Source organism: Homo sapiens, chromosome 10 (genome assembly GCF_000001405.40).
Source record: "Homo sapiens chromosome 10, GRCh38.p14 Primary Assembly".
Taxonomy (NCBI): domain Eukaryota; kingdom Metazoa; phylum Chordata; class Mammalia; order Primates; family Hominidae; genus Homo; species Homo sapiens.
Window position 1 is genome coordinate 73,229,618 of NC_000010.11, and position 18,388 is coordinate 73,248,005.

Below are 18,388 nucleotides of genomic sequence, written 5' to 3' on the forward strand. Positions count from 1 at the left end.
CCAGGGATGAACCAGGTAAATTAATGTTCCTTTTGTGGTAGTAAAGCACTGCTGCATGTTGAACTGGTGTGGCCGTGGTTTAGTGACCTAAGCCCTGAATAGTTAGACGTTCTGGTCGCTGATGACCTAAGAAAGGAGAAGAGTTAATTCAAACATTCTGAAGAGAAAGAGGAAGGAAAATACATTCTGTGGCAGCGGAGACTGCCAGAAAAGCCAATGAGCTGATGACCTGAGAAAACAAGCAGGGCTCTAGGGGGGCAATGCCAGTCCAAGAAACATTACATCCTGCTAAAATTAGAACAGATAAGCTTACCTCCTAGTACAGAGTCTTCAGGATTTAGGTTATCATTGAGGGCTGACCTGCTCCACAGGTAGTGAAAGAGAAGGATTAGTTTGTACAGAGTGCAGGATTGTGTGATGATGAAAGAGATTAAGTTACAGTTTCCCCTTACTATTTTCTATTATTGTTCCATATTTTGTCTGTGAGTTTTCTCTTCTATTTTAATGTAAACAATAATAATAAAGGTCCTCACTCCCTGTAAGAGGGCTGTTAATTGTTTTCATCCAGATTGATCAGGCTTCCCCTACCTGCTGTCATTTAGGAATGGAGAGGAAAGGAGGGACCCTATCACATGGACAGTTGACTTGGGGCCCCAGCTACGGGCCCCAAGATGTTATAAAAATTAAAGCATGGGGAAAAAGTATAAATAACCAAATTGGAAATATTAACTTTTGGCAAAGTTGGAAAACCAAACAGGTATCTTCTCCAACCGATCAAGAGTACTGTCTTCTTTCAACACGTAGATGAGTCTCTGTCAAGCAAGCAGACATCAGCCAAATGTGAATGATCTCTTGGTTCATGGAATGCCTCTACAGCCAAGAAATCTCTCCCTAATGGACAAGCTCCTGTAAGAAGTTCAACATTTTCAGACTATACAGTGTAAAAGGGAAACAGAGGGAAAGCAAAATCAGTTTATCAGTATGCATGTATTGAGTGCCAACCAAGCAACCACAAAAACTCCTGGGGAGTAAAACATCCAAGGGACATGGTCTCCACCATCAGGGGGCTGATAATGTAACTGGAAAGAGAAGACATACGTGGGTAAAAAAAGACCTAACCATATGTGGCATTTTTGTAACTGAGTGCCATGTGCGTGCTGTCCAGAATGAGTGCTATGACAGCCCCAAAGCATTCTGGTGGGTAAGTGTAGGTTTTGAACTTGTCCTTGAAAGATGGGGCTTTGGATAAGCAAAGGAGAGCAGCAAGGGCATTCTAGGTAGGAGGAATGATATGGGGAAAGGTTTGGGGATAAGAAAATACAAAATATTTAGGAAAGATAGCAGATCACTTTTGACATAGAAGAACGGAAAATAGGTCAGAACTTTAATGCTTCTGATCAAAGATAATTGACAATCTTCTAGAATTAAAATAGACCATGGTGTGATTAGCGGGAAAGAAGTGACTATGGAACTAATGAATGTTAGGACCAGATTGTGGAGAGTTTTGAGTGTCAGGTTTTTGGGATTCATCCACGTTGTTGTGTATGACCTCCTCCCTTGCTGAGGAGTATTCTATTGTAATACACACAATTTATCCATCTGCTCTCCTGTTAATTAATTAACAAGGGTCATTTCCAGGTTAGAGGTATTACACATAATAAAGTTACTCTAAATATTCTTGTATAGGTCTTTTTTGTGGTTTTACGGTCTCATTTCTCTTGAGTTGATACCTAGAAATGAAAGGGTCATAGCACAGGTATATGTTTAGTTTCATAGGAAACTGCCATACGATTTCCCAAAGGAGTTGTACCATTTTACACTCCTTCCAGCAATGTATGAATTTTGGTTTGGGAGCACATATATTTAAATCAGGAATCTGAAAGATCGATTTCACCATAGTGTAAATGGATGGAGTGGAAGGAACTGAAGGTAAGGGGTCAATGCAGGAGTCCACGCATGAGCTACTAAGGGTCTGCACTCAAGCGGCCACACAGGGTGAGAAACGAATGAGCTATTTTGGGAGTGAAATTTAAGTGAAATTCTATAGAAATAGAGGAATCAAAGTTATCTCGATTTCAAGCTTGAGGGAAGCCTCTGTTGGCGGAAAAGATGGGTTTCTTCTGGGGTGTGTTTACAGTGAGGGGCCATCTCACTGGCAATGTGGAAGAGGTCGGATCTAGAGACCAATCTAAAAGTCACCTGGCTAGAGAAGACAATCAAATCCAGAAGTTCATAGAACAAAATAAAGGTGAACATAGGGCAGCTAAAGCCTAAACATTTTGTAATTAGAAAGCAGTTAGGGTGTGTTAAAAAAAAAAAAAAGGCATAAGTGAATTGCTAGAGAGGCAGGAAGACCAGAACAGTCTCCAGGTTTAGCCCTGTTCCTTGATGGGCAGCATCCCTTCAAAGTCCTCCAAGCACGGTGCCATGTTTTGCACTAGAGGACACCAAAGTGGCCTGAAAGGTTGAGGAACTTGCTGAAAGCTATAGGAGCAAATGGCAGAGCTTAGCTGCGTTATTCTTTCACTTCTCTTCCATTTAATTGTGCGGATACTCTTAGATGTCTTAAAATAGTCAAATGTCCTCTCACTTGCTTTAAAAGAAAAAAAAATACACACCTGAATCTGTAGGGCAGTATTTAAGCTACTGAACTGTTTAGGTGTGGTATTATTTTATTTATTGGACGACTTACAGAAAAGGGTTGTATTTCAGTTATTTATGCAAATAGGGCTACTGTGGTCCCAACAGCTCTGGCTCTGGGCAGCACAAGACCCTTTGCCCACTCCCAGCTTTCCAAAGAACCCAAACCCAAATCCCTGCCAGCTCCAACTTGCTCAGCACTTTAATTGCTACAGTGGGAGCCACACTGGTGCCACAACTGCTCCCAAGCAGCAATATTTGTCTTTCAGTTGTCTTTCTGGTGACAATCTTTCAGCACAAAAGAATGCCTCAAACAGAGTAGGAATCAGCCCCTGTGGCAAATTTTTGGGAAGCACTTTGGAGTAGGTGTCCTTCAGGCTTGCCTTCACTGGTGACTAAAAAAGTGACTGTGATGGCAGGTGGATAATGGACTTGCTTTGCCAAATGTCCATTCTAGTAAATTATGTTTATGATTGAAATAATGTCCCACTTTTAAGAACAGATTCTCATGCCTGAGCTAGAGTACCATCTGGAAACTAGTGTTACTTATTGAAAGGTTTTTATTTTTGCTTTATTTCCCCCTAAATGTAGTTTCTAGTCTAAGGCTTTTTACCCCGTTAGTCTTGTCTTCCTTGACATACTGATCTTTACTTCATTGTGGGTTTCTGATTTGGCTACTAGAGATCTTGATGACAAGCTACTTATGAGGCCTGGGTCCAGTACCATCCTTTCAACTCGAAATTGGCCAAATCGAGCTGTGGAGTTTAGTACATCATCTCTGTCATACACAGTGCAGTCCACCAGGAGACGCAATCCACCACCACGAACTCTTCATCCGATCAGCACGAGCCATTCATGTGCTGAAACACCAAGATCTGTGGAAGAAATCCTCAGAGGAGCCCGAGTGTAGGTTTCAAAAGCAGAACTTCTGGAAACCGTGGTAAAACTAACACATTTTACATACAGAATTAATTTAAATATAAGACTGAAATCTATGCCTAGAAACTAATCATTAAGTAGTCTTATGACAGATTGCCCATGGGTTTAGATCCAACACAAAATTTTTTAATGTGGTTAAATTTTATTTTATTTTATTTTTTTAGATACAGTCTCACTCCTGTCGCCCAGGCTGGAGTGCAGTGGATGATCATGGCTCACTGCAGCCTCAACTTCTGGGCTCAAGTGGTTCTCCCACCCCAGCCTCTCAAGTAGCCGGGACCACAGGCGGGTGGTGCCACCATGCCAGGTTAACTTTTTGTGTTTTTAGTAGAGACAGGGGTCTTGTCATGTTGCCCAGGCTGGTTTCAAATTCCTGAGCTCAAGCAATCTGCCTGCCTCAGTCTCCTAAAGTGCTGAGATTACAGGTGTGAACCACCGCACCCAGCAGGGGTTAAATAATTTTAATGAAATAGATATTGAATCTTTCTGTTGATCTAGCTAAAGAGTTCTATTTGTAAAAATAAAATGTTGGCTAGAATACTATATTGGGGTTACAAAAGGAATAAAGAACCTATTTATTTAATCAAACATTTTCCGTGCTGGGAACATATTCAGTGAAATTCACTCCAAAATAATAGTTAATTCCCCTTTAAGGTTCTTCTGTACCATTGGGATCTGCTTATTCCATTGACAATGAAAACTTCATAAACCTCAGATAAGTAGTTGCTTACATACCAGCAAAAATATCCCTTAGCACTTCCTAGGAAGTGACACTAAAAGTAATCGCCTTTCCCACCCTTCATTCACTACACACTCTGAGCCTCATCATGCAAAAATACCTAGGAGCCAATTTTAAACATAGAATTCTTTTAGCTGTTGATTCACAAAATGTCTTAGGATGATTAATTTCTAAAAATATCCTCAAAGGTATGAGATAATAAGGCCACAGCAGTGTTTTCAATGCGGCTTCCAAGTTAAGCATTATTATGTGGATGTAGCTATATCTATACCAACAGAGCTATAAATGCATTCATTTGGGGATGAGTAGTCTTGATGTATAATTAATCTCTCATTCCTTCTGACAGTACTTTTTTTCAAAGTTGAAAAGTAAGTTGCTTTGTTACTTCTGGGACATGAAAGTATCATTCAGTTTCAATTACTGTCTTAAGGATAAGGAATACTGCAAGCTGCTCCAGATCCTACTGAAGGGAATGAAGGTTTAGGAACTTTACCCGAGAACTATAGTTATTAGGGAAAACGATAACCAGAAGGTCCAGAACTGTCAAGAATTCCATCATCAGCTGGGAATTTACAAATCCAAATCAGCAGAGAAGTGCAATACCAGATAGGGACAAATGTTTTATTCCAGTTCTGTGGGAGAGAAAAGGCCAGCTTCTGTTGTGTACCCAGAGTATAGAGCTTCAAAACAAAATCAGAAAACACTATTTTAAAAACTAATTTTCCAAAAATCCTGAGATCTCTACTTGAAAACATAGGTAGCCTAAAGCTTTCTGTGCACATTAAACTCATCTGCTTCATTTATCTGATTTCTAATCAATTTGCTGGTATTGTTATAACTTCATGCTTTCATACCTTCGTGTTTGTTGGTGGGATCTGCAGCCCAGTGGCACCCGACTCGCTCTCCTCTCCCTCACCGACGCCCCTGAGTCGAAATAATCTGCTACCACCTATTGGCACAGCTGAAGTGGAACATGTGAGCACTGTGGGGCCACAAAGACAGATGGTATGTTTCTTTCATATTGCCTCTCCATGTACTTACCATACAACCTAATGGGCAGTAATTCTGCAGGATCTGTGCCCTGATCTTGATTTATACTGTGTTTTGTCAAAAGTACAAACACAGTGCTAATTTATGACGTGGAATTGGAGCTGTTTGGCCTGCACTTACCATATCTGCCATGGTCGATAGGGTTTTAACTACATACCACATTACAGATAGTTTTCACTGTTTCTGTAACTTTTGTCTCCTCTGCAGAAACCCCATGGCGACTCTAGTCGAGCTCAAAGTGCGGTGGTGGATGAACCTAACTATCAGCAGCCACAAGAAAGGCTCCTTTTGCCCGACTTTTTCCCCAGGCCCAACACAACTCAATCATTTTTGGTAGAGTGACGTACTTCCTAGAATGGTCTTGATAGTTGGGGAAAGAAAAGGTGGGGGGAATAATAGTTTGGCAGACTTAAGATTTTATCTAGAGGCTTAACCCAGAATAAAAGTTGAGTTTCCAACAATAAAAAGTGTTATAAATACATTTTGTTCAAATTCTAACTAGTCCCTGATGCCTATTCTTTAATGCCTTATACAGAAATCACAAATATTCTAAGCAATTTAACACTTAAGATATGTCTGACCACAAGCAAGAATATTAAATCCCAGTACACATCAGATAAGCATAACTTTATTATGTAATCCTGTTCTTCTGGAATTACATCAAAAGTGGTCTCAGATTATGATGAGTCCTGGTGGATGAGTGAGTTGGGACTTTAATAAAAAATTTTTTTCAGAAGCAGGCTCTTGCCATGTTGCCCAGACTAGACCTGGAACTCCTGGGCTCAAGCAATCCTGCCTTAGCCTCCCGAGTAGCTGGGACTACAGGTGCACACCACTGTACCCAGCTTAGGACTTTTTCTTTCTACTGGTGTTTTAAATGCTGACACTGCCTACCATTTATTAGGCATTTACTAGCCCTTTTAAGTAATAGAAAAAACCTGATCAGCAATGGGGTCATGCACTGACCCTCCCCATTTGTAGGCTGGGAGCTCGACCCCACATAATCTGCTTTGTGGCAAGAGCACTTGGAGAGCCTGGGGAAGTAACCAGGGACCCCACATCCTGACAGTTTTCAGGATGGTAGTGTTTGCAGCACACTTGTCCCAACTCATGACCCTTGAACCACAGCAGGCTAAAGCACTGCAAAGTTTTTCTTCTATGAGAAGAGTGGTAAGGATAATCAATATCAGACCTCTGTATTAGTTTCCTAGGGCTTAAGAAATGACCAAACAACTGGGTGCCTTAAAACAGCAGAAATTTTTTCCTCACAGTTCCAGAGGCGAGAAGTTCAAAATCAAGGTGTCAACAGAGCTATGCTCCCTTTGCAAGGTCTAGGGAAGAATCTTTTTGTCTCTTCCTGGATTCTGGTGGCCACCTGTGATCCCTGGTGTTCCTTGGCTTGCAGCTGCATCACTCCCAATTTCTGCCTTTTTTTTTTTTTTTTTTGAGACGGAGTCTCGCTCTGTCACCTAGGGTGGAGTGTAATGGCGCAATCTCAGCTCACTGCAACCTCTGCCTACTGGGTTCATGTGATTCTCCTGCCTCAGCCTCCCGAATAGCTGGGACTACAGGTGCCTGCCACCACGCCCAGCTAATTTTTGTAATTTTACTAGAGATGGGGTTTTGCCATCTTGGCCAGGCTGGTCTCGAACTCCTGACCTCATTATCTGCCCACCTCAGCCTCCCAAAGTGCTGTGATTATAGGTGTGAGCCACTGTACCCGGCCTTTTTTTTCTTTTCTTTTTTTTTTTTTTTAAGACAGGGTCTCACTCTGTTGCCCAGGCTGGAGTGCAGAGCACAGCTCACTGCAGCCTCAACCTCCTGGGCTTAAGTGATCATCTCACCTCAGCCTCCTGAGTAGCTGGGACTACAGGCACATGCCACCATGCCCTGCTAATTTTTTTATTTTGTAGAGATAGGGTGTCACTATGTTGGCCAGACTGGTCTCAAACTCCGAGGTTCAAGTGATCCTCCCACCTCAGCCTCCCAAAGTGCTGGGACTACAGGCATGAGCCACATGCCCAGCCTGCCTCTGTCTTTACATGGCTTTCCTCCCTGTGTGTCTGTGTCCAGGGTTCCCTCTTCTTATAAGATACCAGTCGCTGAATTTAGGGCCCACCCTAATCTAGTGCGACTTTACCTTAACTTGATTTATCTGCAAAGACCCTATTTCCAAACTTGGTCACATTCACAAGTTCCAGGTGGACATAAATTTTGAGGGAACACTGTTCATTCTAGTAGACCCCACGAGGCTGACTTAGGGAGAAACTCACCAAAAACAAGAAAAGGAAACATGAGCATTTCTGATTCTTGGGGTTCAGTGTGAACCCCAGAAAGTTTGAGAACTTCTACTGAATTTGCCTTCTTATAATCTGACACAGGACATTTATTAAGTAGTACTTGATGATTATATTACACAGCTAGATTCTCTGAAACTTTTTTTTTTTTTGAGACGGAGTCTTACTCTGTCGCCCAGGCTAGAGTGCTGTGGTGCAATCTCAGCTCACTGCAGCCTCCACCTCCTCCTGGGTTCAATCGATTCTCCTGCCTCAGCCTCCTGAGTAGCTGGGACTACAGGCACCTGCCACCATGCCCAGCTAATTTTTGTATTCTTTTAGTAAAGACAGTGTTTCTCCAAGTTGCCCAGGCTGGTCTTGAACTTCTGACCCCAAGTGATCCACCTACCTTGGCCTCCCAAAGTGCTGGGATTACAGGCGTGAGCCACCGCTCTCAGCCAAACATTTCATTTTTTTTAAGAGACAAAGTATCTCGCTACATCACCCAGGCTGGAGTGTAGTGGTGCAATCAGCACACTGCAGCCTCAAACTCCTGGGCTCAAGTGATCCTCCCACCGCAGCCTCCCAAGTAGCTGGGATTACAGGTGTGCACCTCTGCACCTGGCTAAAAACATTTAATTTTTGATTGCCTTAGGAATAAAACTGAACAGATGAAAATGTTTCAGTCTTCTCTTTAAGTTTATTAAAAAAAAAGTAAAAATTACTTACCATTTCTCTCCCCATTTGCTGTCATAAAAAGGGAGATAGCTAGTTGTTTAGTTTATTAGGAATGCTAGCTGTGAGCCGGCTGCAGTGGCTTACACCTGTAATCCCAGCATTTTGGGAGGCTGAGGTGGGCAGATCACCTGAAGTCAGGAGTTTGAGACCAGCCTGGTTAACATGGTGAAACCCGTTTCTATTAAAAATACAAGAAAATTAGCCAGGCATGGTGGTGCATGCCTGTAATCCCAGCTACTCGGGAGGCTAAGGCAGGAGAATTGCTTGAGCCCAGGAGGCAGAGGTTGCAGTGAGCCGAGATCGTGCCATTGCACTCCAACCTGGGCGACAGAGCGAGAAGACTCTGTCCCCCCACAAAAAAAAGAATGCTAGCTGTCCTGGGCCTGGCACTACAGACTAGCACTTTGCTCCTTGCTGTTTTCATCTAGAATAGGGGCCAGTAAACTACAGTTCCTGGGCTACTCACTTGGCCTACCGCCTTGTTTTGTAAATAAACTTTTATTGGAGCAGTGCCACCAAGCTCATTTATGTGCTATCTATGGCTGCCTTCATACCATAACAGCGAAGCTGAGTAATTGCAACAACCACCCTATGGTCCACAAAGCCTAATATAATAACTATCTGGCCCTTTGCAAAAAATAAGTTTGCTGACCCCTGATCTCTAAAATATAGGGGCTTCACCAGAAAAAGCTTCCTGAAATCTCTTGATTTCAGTGCTCTCTCAAGGGAACTACTGGGGGATGTTTTTATTCCAGAAGCCCCAGCAGGATGTCATATATAGCTTTATTTGATATTTGCATTTTAATATTGTAGTCGTATCTCTACATTTTTTAATTCCTTGAGGTAACTGTGAAATATTTGCATTTCATAATGCTAAAAAGTAAATGTAAAGTTAAATTTCGATATGGTGGTAAAGTCATAAGTATTTCAATGTTGCTGAAAAGGCTGGTTGTTTTAAATGAAAGCATTCATTTAAAATATATGCAGCAGCCAACAAAAAGAAATGAGACGAACCCCCTTAGAACTAACTGAAATATTAAACCATATGGATTATTTATAACTCCTGATTTCCTTAACGGCATAGTAATAATATTGAAGAATCTGCAATTTTTACAATAAATGGCTTTGTGGGCATCTGGCTTGGGATTTTCTACTTGAAATTCAACCCAGTGCACTCAGCTGACTTTTCCCTCAAGTTGGTAGTCTATGCCTTTTACCACTGTTGATTTCAAGGTGTTCCTGTGAACCTGCTAAAATATTATCCTTTGTGAGAAGATGCATCATAAGAAGTGTCTCCTCTTTTGTCTTGTAGCTGGATACACAGTATCGTCGCTCATGTGCAGTTGAGTATCCTCATCAGGCCCGACCTGGCAGGGGATCTGCAGGTAAAGGTGGGGCCATGGCCCTTATTTACTACTGTGTGGTTGTGTTAAGACCCAGCCTTTGTCTTTTTTCCTACACCTATTTCCCCTTCTTTCAGATTTTCTTGGATTTAATGTTTTCCCACATCTTTGTAAATCACCTAAAATTCATTTTGGAACATGGGGTATAATAAAAAGCTAGGAGAGTTCTATTGCTCAGAGCCAAAAAGTTTCAGATTCCTATTTTCTTCATACCATGTAAATTAACTTCTCACTACTTTGGTAAACTGCCTTTTTTTTTTTTTTAAATCTAAAAAGTTCAACCCAAATTAGTCCTTGTTGTAATGTTCAAAATATTCTTTAAGAACATAGCATGGATTTTATTATGCAGGCAAAATCCATATTCCTATGGATTAAACTGCTTTGATCAGTTAATCTGTTAGGCCAAGGTAAGAAAAGAAATTCTAAACCATCAGGATATGCTGAGTCTGATTCTATCGCATTAACTCTTTTTATCTTTAAATTATACTCTGTAGATGTACTAACAAAGAAGTGATGGGAGAAAATTGAGGGATGTCTTTTTTGAGACAGTCTCACTCTGCTGATCAGGCCAGAATGCAGTGGCATGATCATGGCTCACTGTAGCCTCGAACTCCGGGGCTCAAGGGATCCTCCCACCTAAGCCTCCCACATAGCTAGGGCTACAAGCAGTGCCACCATGCCCAGGTAATTTATTTTTTGTAGAGACAGGGTCTTGCTATGTTGCCCAGGCTGCAGGATGTCTTAATTCTTCCTGTGACAGTCTTCTCACCACCATCAGGGTCATTCTTATTATGCTGAAGGTAAATTTAGAAGTAATGGACAGCTGAGATGTTTCCTGTTAATGATCAAAATAATCAGCAACTATGGTAAAAAACTAGTCTGCCTCAAACCATCTTTGTAGTCCAAGTGATTTCTCAGCTCAGTTCCCCGCAGCATTGTCTGGTAGTCTTTGAATGCTTTTGTCAGATTATGCTTTCAGATCTGCATTTGAGCTACAATTTCAGCCACATTGAAAGTCAGGTATAACTGGCTGGGCGTGGTGGCTCATGCCTGTAATCCCAGCACTTTCGGAGGCCAAGGCGGGCGGATCACGAGGTCAGCATATTGAGACCATCCTGGCTAACATGGTGAAACCCCATCTCTACTAAAAATACAAAAAATTAGCCGGGTGTGGTGGCAGATGCCTGTAGTCCCAGCTACTCGGGGGACTGAGGCAGGAGAATGAGGTGAACCTGGGAGGCAGAGCTTGCAGTGAGCCGAGATCATGCCACTGCACCTCCAGCCTGGGGGGACAGAGTGAGACTCCACCTCCAAAAAAAAAAAAAAACCTCAGGTATAACTTATGTAACACTGAAGTGGAAGTGAGTAAATCAGACATCTTGCTTCTTTTTAATTAGTGGGCTCTTCTACAAAACTAGTTTACTGCTTTCATACCTTAAGAAAGTCCAATTCATAATTGGAGCAAAAAAGCCCTTAGCTATAAACTTGAGAGTGATTATCAAACCTAGACTGTCTACTAATGTTACTCTATGTCATCTGACAGGTCCTCAGTTACATGGGTCTACAAAATCTCAAAGCGGAGGCAGACCAGTCTCTCGAACCAGGCAGGGACCATAAGGCAAATGAGAAGAATCTATCAGGCTGCAGGAAACACGAGATTTCATGAAGCAGTATTCAGTCATCAAGTGATGCAGAGCTTGTATAGAAGATCGACTAGAAATCATCTTCATGAAGAGTGATTTTGGCACAAGTGACCGAAGAACAAAACACCATAGCAGCCAAAAATGACATGAGTGTTGTTTCTATCTCCAGTTACTGTCTCTTTCAGCAGAAATTAACCTATCCCATTGGAAAGGCAAGTTTGTACCCAAAGATGCAACAGTGAATAATACCCAAATCACTGCTCATGTTATCTCTTAACAATGATCAGTTCAATCATATAGGATTTGATGAGCTCACACATACACAAAAAGCAGCAAATCATCAGTGACAATATCACTGGCTTCAGAATACTTCAGCCTGTGTTCATTTCTGGAGAGTTGTACTCAGTTTTAAGTCATTTTGCTGTTGAAAATCTGACCTCATCAAATAGATGTCATTCCTAAAACTCTCTTTAGATGTCCTACCCTATCAGCAGATTAAAATGGAAGGGGTGTGTAACTAAAAACATAAATGTTAAGCATTAGTATAAAGTAACTTCTGTAATAAATTATATCGCATATTTTTTCAGATAGGACAGCTCAACCTTACGATGCCTACCTGATGCCAGGTGATGCTTATTTTCTTCCTAAAGTAGGTTACTGGTCATATCTTTTTTCCAAATATTAAATGCACCTTGCCAGATATTCTCCTGCAGCTCTAAGGAAAGGAAATCAATTTAAAAATAATTTGTAGAATCTACTATTGAGCCACCAAAGTATAATTCCCTAAAAGTTTAAGAAACCCTGGCAATTAATTCAGCATAAACATATCCTATAAACAGCAGGAGAGGTTCAGCTTTCTGATTTTACTGTGGACCTTTTCCTAAGGGCATTCATGAATGCAGCAACAGTTTTAACTATGGCTTACATTTATTTTAAATTTCACTAAATACAAATCTTGATTGTCATGCCAGTTTTAGATCTTATTAATTTTCAGAATGGATAAATTCAAATAATCATAAATTACGGTAACTTTTTATTATACCAAGGTGTTCTAATGCCATCATATGAAGACAGATGCTTCAAACAACCTGCATTAAATTATATTTTTAATAAAATTAAAATCTATTTTTAACCTATTTGTAGTCACAAACCGAAAACGTGTCGTCTTTACCTTAGAGCTAAAGGCTTACTTTATGCATACGGTATATTTAATAGTCTACAAATCAAAGATTTAAACAGTCCCTTAAAAATTCCATATATTCTCATACCAACTCATCTACATAGAAATGAAAATCTCTATTGTTCTCACAAACCATTACCATGAGTTCACTATAACAACTGGATCAATATGGCTTGCCTTTCAAAGTTAAAGAATCAGAAAGGGGCCTGTAAGAAGTCATTTAGCCCAATTCCCTCACCCTGTGTGTTTTCCCTCAAAGCCAGTGCAATTTTTTTTTAACCAAAAAACTGGACATGTTTAATACATACAGTTTGACAAATTTGGATTTCACTCTTTGTTTTGATGTAGTAACTCTTTTATAAAAGGGAACAGATTCAGACAAGCTCAGTGGCCCAACTGAAGACATTCAGCAATTAATGGCAGGACTTCAGTAATCAGTGGCAGGACTACAACATACATCTCTTCATGCTAGGGAAACCAGGCTCTCTATTATAAAGCTGACCAGGGCTATTGTTTTCCCCTTTTCTCTCATCCTAAACACCATTCATATTTTTCCTAGGTCACATTTTAGTGGGATCATTTACAAAGCCCCCAGAACTTAATCATCATGTTTTACCTTTTTTATTGAATTATATACACCTCTTACAAAAATGCTTGAAGTAATTTAACACCTGTACATCAGTACAAAACCTGGCTGAGTAAAATGAAGAGAGGATCTATTCAAGATCATTAAGACCAAATGTAAACTGGGAAGTATGTGGAAGATAGCTGTCCAGCAAGTGTCTGGAAGGTGTTCTAGCTGGGTAGAGAGCCTATTCTAACAGACACGCACATCGCAGAAAGCAGCATGAACAGAACCACATCCTAGATAAGAGTTCTGTGTACAGAAGATCCATGGAGGCAAGTGCTGTCAGGAAGGACACTGCCTCCCTCCACCCTCCCAAATGTCACCACCAAGTTCCTTCAGGTGAGACCTCACACAATGTCAAGTGCTTTCTAGGAAATACTAAGATCAGGTTGAGAGATTCTGCTTGGTCTAGTCAATCTGAAAAATTCAGGCTGGAAAGACACCTTTTCTCAAGAGCTGAATTGACTTTTGCCTTCAAATCCTGCCTGCACCTTGCCTACGATGGCATCAATTTACACCTAAGGACCTTTGAAGAGAAAAATTCCATTATTTCTTTTCTTTCTTGAGAGCAGATTTTTTCCCTCCTCCTTTGGAAGATTTGCAGTACTTTGCTTCCATCTGAGCCAGAAAATTGTCCATTTCCTTTTGCCGATCCTTTTGTCTGCTCTGTTTGAGAAGTTAAAACACAAGCTTTCACAACATTATCCATAGACAGAAAGTACCTAGTGGTTGCCAGGGGCTGGAAAAGTGGAATAACTACTAATGGGTATGGAGTTTTTTTGGAATGGTGAAAATGTCCTACAATTGGTGTTAATAATTGTAAAACTTTGTAAATACACTTAAAACCACCAAATTGTACACTTTAAAAGGACAAATAGAAGGTATGCGGTTATGTCTTAAAAGAAGAAAACAAAATACAACATTCCAAAGAAAATATTAGCAGTAGGAATCAGATCATTAAAGATGTGGCAACAAACTGCCAAGTTTACCTGAATGGCTGCCTTCAGGCTATCCACGCCTTCATCAAGCCCCAACTCCTTTCTGCTCATTTCTGCTTCTTTGGCCTCTTCCTGAGCCTGAAACAGGAACTCACATGAGACTCAGGGCCACCAGGAAATGCTTAAAATACATACTCTTTCCCAAAAGCAAATCTATAATTCTGTTTCAATTTTATGAATATATGAATAGACAAAATGAATCGAATTACATAACTATGTCATTCATTAAATGGCAACAATGCTGACAGCAAGCAGTAGATCCTCTGATTCCAATTACCATTTGTTTTTTACCCAATTCTATTTGCTAGAGGTAGTAAGTACTCTGGCACTCATAAATCACATGATGATAAAAAGGAACATGAGGCCGGGTATGGTGGCTCACAACTGTAATCCCCATACCTTGGGAGGCCAAGGTGGGAGGATCACTTGAACTCAGGAGTTCAAGACCTGCCTGGGTAACATAGTGAGACCTCAGTTCTATAAAAAAGAAAAGAAATGAGCCTGGTGTGGTGGCATGTGCTTGTAGTCCCAGCTACTAGGGAGGCTGAGGTGGGAAGATGGCTTCAGTCTGAGAGTTCAGGCTGCAATAAGCTGTGATCATGCCTCTGCACTCCAGCCTGGGTGATGGAGATGCCATCTCTTAGAAAAAAGAGAAAAAAAAAAAAAAAAGGCAAATGATGCAATTGCCAGGATACAGGTATTTCCAATTTCTCTCCTGGAAACCCAATTTACTCCATGGGACTGGTGGTGCCTTGTGAACAACCCCAGTTTAAAATGACTTCTCCCCAGTAGTCAGAAGAACCAACATCAATAAACTCAGTTTTAACATCTATTTACCTAATTTCAAAGCAGCCTTCCTTTGCCAAGTGTTCCTAGAGCATTGTTTACAAAATATCACAAGAACACCTTAGGGCAACAACTATAAGAGGCCCCAACACCCCTTGTGAATTTTCTAAGTAGCAATTAATGCTATTAATACTGAGGATGATGATACATTAGGACCCCCTATCCCAATAAGACACCGTTTCCTTGTATTCAAATTCTCTCTTTAAATTCAGCATCCCCCTAAGGTTTGTTGAACAGTCTATCAAAACTATGCCATTTTCTCCTCAAATTCTAGGGAAGTTTCTCAAGCTAACAGTCTACTGTGAATGCAGCTGTGCTCAGTTTCATCTCAGGAAATGATGAACGACTTAAGATAATTGTCAGCTTGAGTCTTAGCAGATGTAGCCTATGAACCAAAATGGTCTTGATATACACTCCACCGTTCCCCTCAAGCTCACCAGAAAGGGTGCAGCCTCTTATCTAGGCAAAACAGGCCCTTCAAATTTTCACCGGAAACAAAAAGGTCAGCTTTCTCTCTGCCAGCGTCTCTTATGTAAAAGCTGCAGAAAAGTTCCTGAGGGCACTCAGGAAGGCAGCAGTGGTCCTAAAAGTTGTGTGCTCCTTAAGAGAATCTAACGCCCGATGATCTAAGGTTTCATCCTGAACCACCCCCCCAACTCTCCTCACCCCCACTGTCACTGGAAAAACTGTCTTCCACAAAACAGGTACCTGGTATCAAAAAGGCTGGGGACCGCTAAGCTAAAGTTTTTCTTTAAAAAAAAAAAAAAGAAAAGAAAAATTCTGTATCCAACTCAAGAATCAAATTCGGGGCAAAGGCCCAAACATCTGCACTTTTAACAAGACGGTGTCTGCCATTCTCTTCTTACCCCCTCAACCGAGTAAGGATCACTGCCCATCCTGTGTACCCGGGTTCCACTAACTTTATCTCCTGAGGAATGCCTCAGGAATGCTACAAGAATTGGCCTACATGAAAAAATATTTCAGTGCTACTTTACTATGGTAATATTTAAACAATCTATGCAATAAAAATCATCTTGAGCACAACATGCTAGAAAAAGTTTCTCTTGATGAACTGGTATGCCCATTTTATTAGATCGAAACTATAGACCAAGTTAACCCTAGTCCTTATTTCTGGAGTTTTATGTTTACTTCTACTGCTGTAAATACTCTCAAATCCTTTTTGGAAGCAGTCAAAATATAAATCCACAGTATTCAAAATCTTACCCTCCTTTTCCTTGCATTCATCTTTTGTTTCGATTCTTTGACAAAGGCATTATAGGATGGGACCTCTCCGGCGTCAATAGCTTGCTGAATGATATTCCTTATCCTGGGTTCCTCTGTGTACTGCACGCAAAGCACAGACTCCATGATCTGATCCATGTCACCCTTGAAGTCCAGATAGGCCTGCTTAATATCAGCCAGCTCTTCTTCCGAACCTTTGTATGTCTTTTCAAAAGCTTGAATGTCCTCTAAAGATATCTGATGATAAAGGAGATTTGCTTTAACTTTGGGAATTTTACTTTAAATAAAACGTACGTTAGTAAAACTAGAGTTGGGTGTTGAATTGCTGCAATACAACAGTTGCTTGAGTTGAAATTATTGAACCAGATTTTCTATGCCTAAGCTTCTCCGGAGTCCTCCTTTTTAAATCCAATCTTCATTAACTGCTAACTAGGGACCAGGGAAGGGAAATTTAAGTGAAATTTCCAAGAGTGAGAGGTGATCCGGAATCAGGACTTACATTTGGATATGTAAAATAAAGCGCATCCGGCAAAAAAAATAAATCGGCCCTTTTCAGTGCAACAATCACATTAACAGGAAATTTAAAGCCCGTTTCAGTAAGCGTGCGTGTATCTGTATTTCAAGGCCAAACTCAAAATTCCTAATTCCTACAAAATTAACACAAAATACAAGATCTTAGAGGCAGTCAATAAAGGTTTGTTGATTGAATGATGGTAACAGTCACAAAGAAACCTCCAGAGTCCTTTACCTTTTTAAAGAGTAGCCGCCAATACGCCTCCCAGTCTCGGTCTTGGGTGAGCACAGGAGAGTCCTCGTCCACTGTTCCCTGCTCATCGTACACTGCTCTCTGTTCTCTGTCACTGAGAACGGAATAGACTTTTCCCAGGATCTGAGGGCAAAGAGTATCCGTAAATCACCCCTGCTCCTCCCACCGAAACGGCGGCGCGAGAAATAAAGATCAGAAGGCGCCAAGCGGAGCTCAGCGCGCTCCCCCGGGGCGGGGCCCGGTAGCCAAAAGGCTAGGGGGAGGCCCGCGCAGCCGGTCGGCTTCGGGGCGGGACCCTGCATACCTGGAAGCGGCGGGTGGCGTCCTCCTTGTCGCCCTCACCCACCCGGTCCGGGTGTACCTGCAGGGACACCTTGTGGTAGCCTCGTCGGACCTCGCCGTCGGAGGCCTCGCGTCGCACGCCCAGCACCCGGTAAAGGTCGGCGGTGCCGAACACTTCCTCGCAAAGGTCCAGCAGCCCCATGCCGGGCGGAGATACGACCCCGGAGGAAGCAGCCGCTCCCAGCTGCGCCGGGTACAACCCAGGACTGCTTCTTTTTCGCGCCCAAAAAGCCCAGGGCGCCTGCGTCACAAGCACTGAAGGGGCGTGGCCACGCCGCGCATCCGCGCTTTACGGCGGCCGCAAAATGAGGTGTGGCGAGTCAGGCGCGGGCCCGGGTAAGTAACGCCGGCATGTGGAGTCACAGTCCCCGGCCGCGCGCAGGAGCTAGGTCTTCAGGGAAGTGATGTTGCTCGGGTCTCTCCTCCCCTTGCTCTGGAAATCTGGCGTCCGTCTTACCTTTTAGTGTCCAAGAACAACTTTTTCAAAAAGTTCATATATTAGCTTGAATTTACAAACTGCTGGCCTATTTTTTTAAGTAGAAAACGGCCAAACATCAGCATTCAGCAGTTACACATGGTTCAACTTAACAGATGTGTTTTTTCAAAAATGTTCTTGAAAGGAATAGGTAAAGCTGTAGACCCAAATAATTTTGCACCCCACTGGTTGGAAATGCTGGGGTACTTTCCCTCTAGCCCTGTAGGAAAAAACCCTATACTGAAACCCAAAAAGCACAAAACACGGGTCTTCCAAAAACTCTTACCTAATAGGACTTTCACCTTACACATTGGTGGAGAGAGATAACATGACCCAAGCCTCCGTCTTAATAACATAAACTGCTGAAGCAAAGGCTCTTTCTTTTAATACTCTGTGAAGTTCACAGCTGGGTTTGAACATGTTGGATCCCAGGTGGCAGCAGAGTGGGCTGGAGCAATCATCCAAGAGATGGTGAGAAACTTG

The 18,388-nt window shown here is 41.8% G+C and overlaps 2 protein-coding genes and 1 long non-coding RNA gene across 9 annotated transcripts in view, besides 3 other annotated features; 2 read left to right on the forward strand and 1 right to left on the reverse strand.

Moving 5' to 3' along the window:
- FAM149B1 (family with sequence similarity 149 member B1) overlaps positions 1–14,887 on the forward strand; it is a 76,386-nt gene extending 61,499 nt beyond the window's left edge. For 2 of the 4 annotated variants that reach the window (XM_005269744.3, XM_047425142.1), the window contains 4 exons: positions 805–908; positions 3,322–3,546; positions 5,200–5,323; positions 5,576–5,835. In XM_005269744.3, coding sequence (XP_005269801.2) covers positions 805–908; positions 3,322–3,546; positions 5,200–5,323; positions 5,576–5,710 — 588 coding nt within the window. In that variant the 3' untranslated portion in view covers positions 5,711–5,835. Of the gene's footprint in view, positions 1–804; positions 909–3,321; positions 3,581–5,199; positions 5,324–5,575; positions 5,836–9,694; positions 9,768–11,328 lie in introns of those variants that run through there. The other 2 variants (NM_173348.2, XM_047425143.1) reach the window with 2 other exon arrangements.
- On the reverse strand, positions 2,655–17,638 carry DNAJC9 (DnaJ heat shock protein family (Hsp40) member C9). Of its 4 annotated transcripts, XR_007061950.1 has the most exons (7): positions 17,393–17,638; positions 17,071–17,211; positions 16,305–16,559; positions 14,226–14,312; positions 12,045–12,143; positions 5,173–5,300; positions 4,926–4,998 (listed from the first exon to the last, which is right to left on the reverse strand). XR_007061950.1 is itself a non-coding variant. In XM_047424909.1 (6 exons), exons 1-5 carry the CDS (start codon positions 17,570–17,572, stop codon positions 12,090–12,092), a joined length of 717 nt encoding a protein of 238 aa, XP_047280865.1. In that variant the 5' UTR covers positions 17,573–17,638; the 3' UTR covers positions 2,655–5,300; positions 12,045–12,089. The 4 variants fall into 4 exon arrangements, 3 of the variants coding, with proteins under 3 accessions (XP_047280865.1, XP_047280864.1, NP_056005.1); XM_047424909.1 differs by having other exon boundaries at positions 2,655–5,300; XM_047424908.1 differs by having other exon boundaries at positions 4,926–12,143.
- Positions 17,080–18,279: an enhancer, noted in NCBI's record as "CDK7 strongly-dependent group 2 enhancer chr10:75006455-75007654 (GRCh37/hg19 assembly coordinates)". NCBI's record gives its function as "activates an origin of replication core promoter dependent on BRD2, BRD4, P300/CBP, MED14 and CDK7 cofactors, with strong dependence on CDK7, by STARR-seq in HCT116 cells {active_cell/tissue: HCT116}" and the evidence as "EXISTENCE:reporter gene assay evidence [ECO:0000049][PMID:35650434]".
- Positions 17,195–17,344: a silencer, noted in NCBI's record as "silent region_2482". NCBI's record gives its function as "represses an Ori minimal core promoter by ATAC-STARR-seq in GM12878 lymphoblastoid cells {active_cell/tissue: GM12878}" and the evidence as "EXISTENCE:reporter gene assay evidence [ECO:0000049][PMID:35858748]".
- Positions 17,545–17,884: an enhancer, noted in NCBI's record as "active region_3557". NCBI's record gives its function as "activates an Ori minimal core promoter by ATAC-STARR-seq in GM12878 lymphoblastoid cells {active_cell/tissue: GM12878}" and the evidence as "EXISTENCE:reporter gene assay evidence [ECO:0000049][PMID:35858748]".
- DNAJC9-AS1 (DNAJC9 and MRPS16 antisense RNA 1) overlaps positions 17,750–18,388 on the forward strand; it is a 29,618-nt gene continuing 28,979 nt past the window's right edge. Inside the window, exon 1 of the long non-coding RNA NR_038373.1 lies at positions 17,750–17,766. This is a non-coding gene — a long non-coding RNA (DNAJC9 and MRPS16 antisense RNA 1). The remainder of the gene's footprint in view (positions 17,767–18,388) is intronic.